Consider the following 11521-nt stretch of genomic DNA (forward strand, 5'->3'; position numbering starts at 1 on the left):
TGTTATTACAACATTTGATGTTTGTGTCCTATAAATATTTTTACTAATAATGCAAACAGTGAATGTAAAGAAGTTACAAGCTTTTTCTTTTTTCTAGCCCTATGCAGAATAAATATCAGTTGACCTGAAATATTTTTCTGCAAACATTACTGTCATGGAATTTTTGTAAAGTCAGTTTGCTTACTGATTCATATATAACCAGACTTGACATTTTATGGAACATTTCACATATAGCTGTATTTGAATTTTGATGAGGAAGGAGTTATAACCTGGTCAGCTCTTCATCATGGTAGACTTTGTGCAACCCCAAAACACTAAACAGTTTCATGTCCCTGGAGGTTTATTGTAACCTTGTACTGCTTTCTTGGTACTAGGATTTTCCCTCCATGTTGCTCTGTTTCTCTACATTTCTTCCCATATTTGGGACATTCCAAATGCTACATTCATAATTTATTATTCCTTTAACTTAATTTTCTTGGTATAAAAATAATGGGCTGCAAAGTCACACGTCCCGTTTGACATCAGGAATATTCTAGTCAGTGTTTGTATTTTTAAAGTTTCAGATAACAGGGACAAATTATTTTACCTATTCATGTGTATTTTAGAAATTATACATACCAGATTTTAAACAGTGTATTCAAATAAAACCATTGGCAAGATTCCTTGCTCTGAGATAGAACAGTGTAGCATCTATAGACACCAGGGGGCATGGAGCCACTCAGGCTCTTCTGCAGAGTAGACAGGATAGAGTAGGGGGGTGCAAGTCTGTCTCCGGCACGCGATGATCCAGGTCTTTCCTCTGAGTGGGTGATAGCCTGATTGTAGCTTACAGGTTAGAGAAGCAGGGCAAACAACAAAGTACATGAAAATTCAAGGCCGGGTGTGGTAGTGCATGCCTGTAATCCCAGCACTATGGGAGGCCAAGTCGGGCGGATCACTTAAGTTCAAAACCAGCCTGGCCAACATGGTGAAACCCTGTCTCTACTAAAAATACAAAAATTAGCTGGGCGTGGTGGTGTGCATCTGTAATCCCAGCTACTTGGGAGGCTGAGGCAGGAGAATCACTTGAACCCGAGAGGTGGAGGTCGCAGCGAGCCGAGGTCACGCCACTGCACTCCAGCCTGGGCAACAGAGCAAGACTCCTTCTCAAAAAAGAAAAGTACATTCAGCTTGCTGAAAGTGTACTTGTGGTGTGTGCGTGTGTGTGTGTGTGTGTGTGTGTGTGTGTGTGAATTCCCCGAAGCCTCCATAAATTAAAACTACAAATCGAGATAAAAATACAAAACATTTTGATTTCATTCTTTGCCTTCTATGCACATTAAAGGGTTTGGTTTAGACCAAGACCTGCAGTTCATTGTGATTCTATCAGCCAAAAAGCATGAGTCATGTTATGTAAAATATTCCACAGAACCATTGTTAACTGTGCAGTTCCATTACATGAAATCATTGGGCTCATTTTTCTTCTGAGACATGTTTACTATAGCTTATTGAACCCTGCTAAGAAAATTATAGATCATGATTCCCAAATCGGCGGAATGACCATTATGGTCTCATCCTCAATTCTGTTTGAATTTGGGGCATGGTAGTCCCTGGTCTGTAGTGAATAAAAAATGAAAAAGCTTCATGCTAAATTTTGTGTGTTGTTCTTGTGGCCACCTCTGAATTATGTTGTCTCAGGATTTGTAGTTGTCCTTCCCAGGTCAGAATCCGTCATTGTATTTCATAAGCAGTGGCTAGGAGATCTAGGATAACCACTTCACTGTGCATCTCTTAGGACATCCAAGGATCCCTAAGAGGGTAGACTGGAGTGGCAGAATATCCTCACAGTTCGAATTTACTTTGGGCATCTTCCTAAAATCAACCACTTTTGTCAAAATGCCCTCCCCAAATGCTCTGCCACTTGATGCCTTTGCCCATGCTGTATGTCTTGGAGCACCACTTTTCCCTTTCATTCTGAGAGATGCCCTTCAAGTTCACTGAGAATGTCAATTCCCTAATTTTAGCTTTCCCTGGTCCCTTCATCCCTAGGAAGGGCAGGACTAATTACTCCATATATATATATGTATGTATATTATATACACACACACACACAGATTCTGTGTGAGGCACTGAGGATTCAAAGATGAATGGAAGTTTCTTCTTCCCCACCCTTTCCTATCTCATATCTCAGGCTCACAGTTCTGGGAGACAAGCAAAAATTCAGCAGTGTGACTAATGCTATGTATCAGATGATGGAACTGCAGAGATGGAAGCTGTTTATAGAGTATTTTGATTATGCATCTGCCCTAGCACTTGCTCTGTATTGCAGTTTATTTGTGTAACCGTCTTCTAGACTAGACTGTGCTTCTTAAGGTCAGGGACTGCATTTTACTCATCTCTGGGTCACCAGCACTTGGAGAGCTTCCCATATGCTAGCCGTCTGTATTATGAATCCAGAGATGAAAGATGTGGTCCCTATGCTTAAGGAACTTTTCTCTTGGTGGAGGAGATAGACACATCATGTTCAGATTTCAGAAAGGATGATAGGGGAACATAGAGGAAAAATATCTCACAATCTGGGGAAATGCTGTCGGGGAAAATTAGAGAAAGTGTTGCTTAACTTGGCATTTGAAGGCCATTTGAGTCAAGAATAGAATTCAAGGCAAGATGCAGCTAGAGAGATTGTATGAGGGTGTTCTGAGATTTATGTCAAAGGCCATAGAGAGCCATTGAGAGATTTTAAAGGATGTCCTATTAACAGACCAGAGGCAGATGGACCAGTTGGTAGGGGCCTTGAATTTTTCCAGGTAAGAGGAGTACCTGACGTAAAGCAGTAACTGAGCTATGGAGGGGTCAGCTTGACTGCGGGTTGTGATGAGAACAAATGACTGCCAGGTTTCTGAGTTGGGTAAGTCGCAAGTGGTGCCAGTCACTGGGACAGGAAATATAAGACTGTTCTAAGACAGCGCTCTCCTGATGCTTCTGTCTCTCCTCTGACAGCCTTCGTTACTCATCCCTCAGTGTGGCTGAGGAACAAAGGGGAACTATGCCCATACTCCAGAAGCTCCCCCACTAGAGGTCTGCCCATTCCAGCCATTGTGGCTTCTACCTATGCGTGAAGAAGCCTCCTTTGAAGGGACCCTTTTCTGGCTGTAGCAGGTGCCTTGCCATCTCCACCAAGATGCGAAAGTCCTTGGGAAGCAGAACTGCCTTGCAGATCTAAGGCCATTGTGAAAGCTGCTTTCCCATCTGTGTCTTTGCTCAAGGCCAGATTTCTGTTTGTTTCTGTTTGTGTGGTCCAAAGAAAGGCTACTTCTGATTCTTAGAATACATTATCATTTTCTAATCTCATTTTTTGTTGCGCACCTGAGGATTCCAGACAAAGCTGTGCTTTATTCCATCTGACATCACAATAACAGTTGCTGTGACCAGCTGCATAGGTCAGGGCGAATTGCCCAGGTTCATGTAGCTTCTCCAGTCAGCTGCCATGGTGGCAGCAAGAGCCTTGATCTCATTGCGGGTACTTGTTTTCAAATTTAATCCCTCCATGTCTGTCATATTAGATATGAGTCATGGCATCAAAAATGTATCAGGGGTTCAAGGTGGGTTTGATGCAACCCATTCTTCCCCTCCAAGTTTCTGGCTTATGGAGAGTTCATACAAGGATTGTCAGGAAAATGGAGAACACCTTTATTACAACCTGAGCATGTGTTCAATAAATCCCCCCAAAGTAGGGCATTTAGTAAATTCAGCTGGCGAATGTGGCTTAGGCCCTCCCTGGGACCTGCATGCTCTGATGTGGTGGCAGGTAAGCAAGGTTTACAGAGCAGGAGCAGAGTCCATTTTCTCAGCTAGCAGTGAAGCCTGCAGGCTGGCTTACATCCTCAGCCAGGGAGAGCAGTGGGGATGGAGTGCCTTCTCTCTGTGGTCACCTCCAACTCAAGTGAGCAGGTAGCAAGGAGAGGGGAGGTTGAGAGGCCAGGGCCTCTGGGTCAGAACATGGGGTCCAGTTTGAAGCCACAGCCTCGTTTACACTTCTCAGGCCTACTATGCAGAGTTAAACAGAGCCCACCGAACCTAGCTTCTCCATGTTGAGCATCCCTAATCCAAAAATCCGAAAACTGAAATGCTCCTAAATCCAAAACTTCTTGAGTGCAGACAAGACACTTTAAGGAAATGCTCAACCTGTATAATGCCAGATTTTAAAATCCAAAAAAATACCTGAAACACTTCTCCCAAATACTTGTTCCCAAGCATTCAGTTACAGGATACTCAGCCTGTAGTGCTTCTGAGGCCTGTTGTGGACACACTGAATTGAGGTATGTGTATCTTCAGCGGGGACTAAGTGAGGACCAAGTGGAAGGTAGGCAAGTTGGATATTACAGATCCCAGCCCAGAGATGAAGGCTGGATAACACATTTGTTGAAGTATAGGTAAGTGCAATTGTGAGTTTTCATGCAGTTTGAAAGGAGTGGATAAAGATCTTTTATTTGTCAAACTTCTAAAATATTCTTCTGAACAATTGTTCTTGGGCTCTTATTTCAAAAATTATATTCTGCCGATCAGTCTGTGACTGTCATTACCTTTGAAAGGGCAAACAGTCTCTATCCTCATTCTGGTTTCTAGCCCCTGACAGAATCACTTTAAGAGGAACATTACATATTGTTCTAAGCTGAAATTTAGAACTACAATGAGCACCCCAGTCTGAAGAGTTTGGCTCAGTTTGTTACTGTGAATCCATTGAGGTGTTACTCCTGGCTGAAGTTTGCTTAGTATTATAAGGCAGCCAAGGTCTCCTAATAATGTCATGGGCCAATATTCATAACTTACCAGGGTCTAACTAGGCTTTTTATCTGAACAGGCTTTAAATTCTTAACAAACTCTGGTTATGTAAATATGTTGTTTTAGGGTAAAATAAAATCATTGAAATGAGTGTATCACTTTAATTGTATTAGCACCTTTCAAGTGGCCACATTTGTTTGGACAGTTTCCATAAGGAGAAGAAATAAATTAACAGAATTATGCATGGGATGTGTTCCTTTCTAGTTGAAAGCAATAGAGAAGATTTCAGAGGGAAACATTCATATGCTGTCAGCTGCCAAGAAATAGGACTATGTTTTCTTTAACAGGAGAGAAAATATCTCAATAAATCATAAGTTGTAGATTTATTAGGAAAATGCACCAACATATTCTCTGCTTGAAACTCATACATCTTACATAAAAGGAAATCATCAGCATTTCAGACACACCTTTATTGGAGGGTAAAATCACTTAAGATTTGCTAGTTGCCTATTTTTTTTTAAATCATCTTTTCCAGCGATAATCTGCTAAAGCATCCTTCCACCCTCTTTGTTCTCCAGAATGCCAGCCCCTCTCAAGGTAGAGGAGCTGGAGAAGCCTGCACTGGGCCGGGTCCAAGGAAGCCTGTGATTTACTCCTGTGGCTTGATGAGACCAAGTCATGTGCATATGGTGGATTATTTTTCCTGACTTTGTCTCAAAATTTTGTGTAGAAAGGATGACGATTATTAGATTTTTCCAGGGGCTTGAGGTATAGGAATGGGGAAAATGTATATGGAAATCATGAAACTGAATTATGAGTTTTGGCAAAAAAAAAAAAAAATTCTCAACTGTGAATTAAAGGTCAAAGGCAAGGACACTGTAAATTGTGCACGAGGAGGAATCTGGAGAAGGGTAACCTGTGGCCTTTGTTGTCATTGAGGACAAAGCAATATAAAATGCAAAAGAAAATGGGTTTAAATGCAGGAGAAGGGAATCGGGTTAATCACAAAGAAAGGCTTCTACTCCAGAAACATTTCCATCTGGAAGTTCTAAGAATTGAATGAACAATCTTGTATTTGGAGGCAGAGTAGTAAATGAAGTGCCTAGAGAGAAATGCTGCATGCATCGTGTTTCTGTTGTTTCACAGTTTTTCATAGTGGGCAGCCATATTGTTGTATTCACCTCTCTCCCCTTATTTTTATTATTTATTTATTTATTTGTTTATTTTTTATTTTTCTGAGAGTCTCACTCTGTCGCCCAGGCTGGAGTGCAGTGGCGCAATCTTGGCTTACTGCAAGCTCCGCCTCCCGGGGTCATGCCATTCTCCTGCCTCAGCCTCCCGAGTAGCTGGGACTACAGGTGCCCGCCACCATGCCCAGCTAATTTTTTGTATTTTTAGTAGAGACAGGGTTTCACCGTGTTAGCCAGGATGGTCTCGATCTCCTGACCTCGTAATCCGCCCTCCTTGGCCTTCCAAAGTGCTGGGATTACAGGCATGAGCTACCGTGCCCGGCTTTTTTTTTTTTTTTTTTTTTTTTTTTAAGGCGGGGCTTGCTCTGTTGCCCAGGCTGGATTGCAATGGTGCAATCATAGCTCACTATAGCTTCCATCTCCTAAGCTCAAGTGATCCTCCCACCTCAGCCTCCCAAGTAGCTGGGACCGCTGGGACCACAGGCACATGCCCACCATGCCTGGCTATTTTTTTTTTCTTTATTTTTAATAGAGATGAGGTCCACTATGTTGCCCAGGCTGGTCTCACATTCCTGAGCTCAAGCAATCCTCCCTCCTTGGCCTCCCAAAGTGCTGAGATTACAGTCATGAACCACCACACCTGGCCCAAATATCTCTCTCTTTGTAAAGCCTTTTAAAATTGTGTGTGCATTCTCTCTGAGATTCTGTAAGTGCAAAGGACTTACTGTGTTTCTCATTAATAAGATAATAGGTATTTAATAAGTATCTACTGAATGAAAACAAATGAATGCCTCTTTGAACTATGGCCTCTTCTCTGAATATCTTTGAATTAGGATCATTTATTTGATGAGTATTTTTTTGAGCACCTCATGTAAGCCTGGCACTCTTCTGGGAGTAAAGTAGTGAACAGAGCCCTTGCTTTCAGAGATTCCAGAGAAAGACTAGTAACTAGCAAATATAGTTATGTTAGGTGGTGATAAGTGCTGTGAAGAAGAAGTCAGGTAAGGGGGCAGGGCATTATGAGTGGGGGTGGTGCAGGCTGCCACTATTTTAGAAAGGGTGTCTGGGAAGGCCTCTGGTAAGGTGACCAGAATGTTTGAATCTGATAGTCAATCATTCAGGTGTTTCTAGGAAGAGTTTCAGTTGTGTTCAGGAGACAGTGTGGTTGAAATGGGTGAGGTGGGAAATGTGGGAGCAGTGGGGTGTCACAGGCTGTTCTAAGGACTTTGGGTTTTACTCTGAATAAGAAGGGGACCCATGGGAACGTGTTAATAAGAACGACATGATCCAATTTATTGTATTTATACTCATTGAAAAAATCCAGCCATTGTGTTCATACAAAAAGCTAACTACAGTTCCTGCCTTAGTTTACACTGCAAAGGAAATCACCCAAACTCCCAAGAGTTTTCCATTCCATGTCCGCTCCCCAAGCCTCACTGCAGCTCAAGGCTGACATCTAGTGGATATTTTCATAATTGTTTATGCACAGGCAGTTTGGAACCTATCCACTGTTGATTAAGAATAGAGGGGGAGGTTTAACATAGAAAATGACAAACTGGATGATTAGTAGAATACTATAGTGGATTTGCCTCTGTTTTTCTTTGGCTCTTATTCAGGTAAATTTACATTTATCTAGCATATATTAGCATGTATTAATTAGAACTGGGTTCAGCTGCCAGAGATTAGAGCATCAAAATCATGGGTTGGTAAGGAGGAGAAAAAGTATCAGGTGGGATGAGCCAGGAGAAAGTGTCCTGGTTCTAGTGGTGGCCCTCAAAAGGTAGCTGTGGTTTGTTGTATGGTGTTAAGGGTGTGTGTATTCCAAACCTGTGCTTGCATCAGGTTGGCATTGATTTACAAAGGGAGTCTACTGCGAAGGGCATGGTGGAATGAAGTTGAAGGCAGCATGGAGATACTGAAAGTTGTGAAGTTGAGTGTTTCCAAAAGCTTAGGTGGGGTATTTCAATGTACAATCAAGAGCTTTAGCTTTATAACTGGAAAATTGGCTTGTGTCTGCCATTTACTGACTGTGAGAACTTGGGCAAATTATATTATCTGAACCCAGTTTCTAAATAGTACCCACCTAAAGGTGTTATATTAAGCCAGATATTTTATGGAAAGCACTTAGCAAACTTAGCATTTAGTAAGCAGTCAAAAATAGGTGTTATTGTTTAGAGGGACTACAAGTAGCCTCTAGAGATAGAGAAGGAGGCTATTGTAATAGTGGTATCTGCATTGCATTTTTTTTTTTGCCCCTAGCATTTAACATTAACAGAATTTAACTTGAAACCATTTTGTAGATGTATATGATCCATTTTATCGACTTTGATTGTGGGCAGTTGCATATTCTGCTTAACTAAGACATAGCATTTTTACTACACAGAGATCACAATCATCCAGTGGCTTTCATAACTTTTAGGAAAAAAAGGCTCAAATATGAGCTCTGCAAGATCTGGCTCCTGCGTGCCTAACTTCATCCTCATCTCTTATTCTTCCTCCTCAGTTTCTGCATTCCAGAGACTGGCCTCTCAGGTCCTCCAATGCCTTATCCCACCTGTCTTAGGACCTTTGCATAGGCAATTCCATTTGCCTGTCCACACTCTTCCCACTCCCCTCCCAACCAACTAAGAATACACCTAGTTAACTTCTATTCATCTTTCAGATTCCATTGAAAATGATACTTCTTCAGGAAAGCTTTCCCTGCCTCTACGTCACTCCCTGACAGGGAAAGCCTCCCCTGTTACACAATAAGAACACTTATTGTAGTTTAAAAATATATATTTAGGTGGTTATTCACTCAGCTAGATTGTAAACCTCTTGAGCACTGGCACCGTGTCTGCTCAGCCCATTGCTCTGTCCCTGCCATGGTGCCTCAGATAGAGTAGTCTGAAAAGGGAGGGATTTTATTTGAAAGTTAAAATGTAGAAATAGATAAAACACTTGGTGACCGAGTATGAGGGATGTAGTGGGTTCTATGGTGACAATCACATTCCCTCTAAGACTTGGCACTCATCCCTCCAGATGCTGGGAGTTTTGACGGCTGATGGCTCTCGCCCAAGTCTGTCTCCAGGAATTGCCCTCAGCAGAGAAAGCCACCTCACCCAAGGTCATGCCCCCTCCTGAGAGCAGCCCACATTGAGTGACGGGTTGACTGAGGGATATGTGTGTGGCTTCTGGCTTCAGCGTGGAACAGCTCTGAAGGACCTTCCTGGGTCCAGAGCTTGCCATAGCATTGGCTGAGGCCCCGGTTTAAACCTCACTAAGTGTTCAACTCCTTGTCTCTGTCCTTCATCCTTCAGCCCTCACAGGTGCTGTTCATGAGAGCATCACTCAATAAGCCACCTACAATATCTCTGAGTCTGTTTCCTAGGGAAGCCAGCCCACAGCTGGGCATGATGGAGAGGGAGGAGTCTAAGGTGGCTCCTGGATTTCTGGCTTGAGACAGCACATGATGTTATCCAGTGAGAAGAGGGACAAAGAAGAAAGTGTACAGAAGTTGAAGCAGGTTTGCTGGAAAAGATATGTTTTGGGGGTGCTAAGTCTGAGGTGCCTGTGGGATAGCCAGGAGTTTGAAGCTCAGAGGAAAGATCTAGACTAGAGGTACAGATTTGGGAGTCATCAGCAAGGCAAAAACAATGGCATTAAGGAGATCTTCACCCCATAAAAGTGTGGAGTGTGAAAAAAAAACAACTAACCAGGAAGCATGTGTGTGGGAGCCAACAGAAATGGGCAGGGGAAGGAAGACACACTTCTGGCAAATATAGTGATCAGAGAGTTTGGAAAACCGGGAGTGTGAGCATTGTGGATGACAGAGGGATTTGCAGCAGTTTCAGATAGATGTGTCAGGAGCTGCAGAGAGAGCAGCATGGAAAAGTGTTCATTGGGGTGCATGACAAGGTCGCTGAGGACCTTGCTGAGAGCAGTTTGAGTGGAGTGGGTAGAAGCAGCCAGATTCCAGTGAGTTGGGGAGATGGGGTGGGAGGAGAAGAGACAAATGTGATAACCTTTGATAACGCTCATGAGATGGGGACAGGAGAGGTAGGTAGGGACAGAGCACAGAAAACAGGAGGGTATTTGTAAATGATGGGGGAGATGAGCTGAAGGAGAAGGCCCAGCCAAGAAGGGGTAAAGCGAAGGCCGCAGGTGTGGCAACTGGTTAAAATTCTTGAGCAGGTGGAAGAAGACTGAGCAAACAAAATTAATCCTGGAGAGGAAGAACCAAATCTCAGGCGCCAGAAGTGACGGAAGCAGGTAACAACAGCCACAATTTATTATGCTCTTTATTTAAGGCAAGGAACTTTAAGTACTTTAACCCTCACAACAAATCTACTCTCGAATACCACGCACCTGGCCGGAGCTGGTGGGGCTGCGGAGGCCTGGCCTCTCTCCCTGGAGCCCCGCCCAGTCCCCAGGTAGGCGGGGGAGCGTACGCTTCCGGCAGGACAGGGTGGTTCCAGAACCCACCGCTCGCTCTCTTGAAACCGGCTCCGCGGGCAGGAGGAGGGAATTTTGCATTTCCCGCAGTAAGCGCGCCGGGGCCGGGGAGGAGCCACATGAAAAGCGCTAATGGCGTAACGCATGCGCGCCGCGGAGAGCCGGTGCAGAGCCGGCGCAGGCGCCGAGGTCTGCGGGGCGGGTGTTCTCTTCCCGTCTCCGTCAGCATCCAGGTTCAGCGCCCGGCTTGAGTCCGGTTTGTTTTGTAGGAATTCCTGTTAATTCCTGTCGCAGTCTAGCCGTCTACCAATAGGAAATTTGTTAAAATATAGTGATGTACATATGATGGGCTATTTTCGCAGCTCCACTCACGCAAACCAGAAATGTAAATTATTCCCTTGTCTTGGTCTCCTTATAGTTGAAAAATTATTCTCTCCTGGCACTGTTTTATTTATGGCTGGCGACTGAGCTGTTTAAGCTTTGCAGTTTCTGTCTCGTTGGTTGAATTAGACTTACGAACAAATTGTCCATATGATGACAAGAGGGCAATGATGACTGAGTTTTTCCTGGGCCAAGCGGGTCAGTGGTAGGGAGTTGGCTACTTGGAAAAAAATTCTCCTTAAGACACTTCCTCTCGAAGGTGAGAGCTCAGCAGAAGGGGATTGGGGCCTCACTGTCAGATGCGTAAGTTGAGGGGGTTGTCGTCAGGAGTCCGCTGGAGGGGAGGCATTGCTTGAGGAAACTTTGAAAGGGCTCCACAAGAAAAAAAAAATCAGCCTTCAGAATTTGCCACACCTGAAAGGCACCATTGTGCCTCCAGATTTCTTGGATGGGAATCAAACAGCAGTGCACTGCATCCCTTGGACTGCAAGCTCCCTGAGTGGTCCCTCAGAGGCCCTCTTTGGTAAGCTTGAGGTTAGAAGCAGGCCCCTCACACCACCTCCTTTGGTTGCGGGTTCAGCAGATCTCTCCAAAGGATCCTCACTTGACCTCTCTTCCCATCTCTATTCTTTGACCTCATATCTTCTTTATGGACAGATAATGAATTCAAGGTTTTAGCCAAGTCCTGCTTTGCAAATCCACCAGGATGGTCTGTTTCACTACTGATTCTGAGATATGGATTCACACTTCCAAAT

At 43.8% G+C, this 11521-nt stretch overlaps 1 annotated feature.

The window, feature by feature from the left end:
* Window positions 10358-10652: an enhancer, noted in NCBI's record as "tiled region #4026; HepG2 Activating DNase unmatched - State 4:PromP, and K562 Activating DNase matched - State 1:Tss". NCBI's record gives its function as "activates a minimal TATA promoter and a strong SV40 promoter by Sharpr-MPRA in HepG2 and K562 cells {active_cell/tissue: HepG2 | K562}" and the evidence as "EXISTENCE:reporter gene assay evidence [ECO:0000049][PMID:27701403]".

This window comes from Homo sapiens, chromosome 9 (genome assembly GCF_000001405.40).
Source record: "Homo sapiens chromosome 9, GRCh38.p14 Primary Assembly".
Classification (NCBI taxonomy): Eukaryota; Metazoa; Chordata; class Mammalia; order Primates; family Hominidae; genus Homo; species Homo sapiens.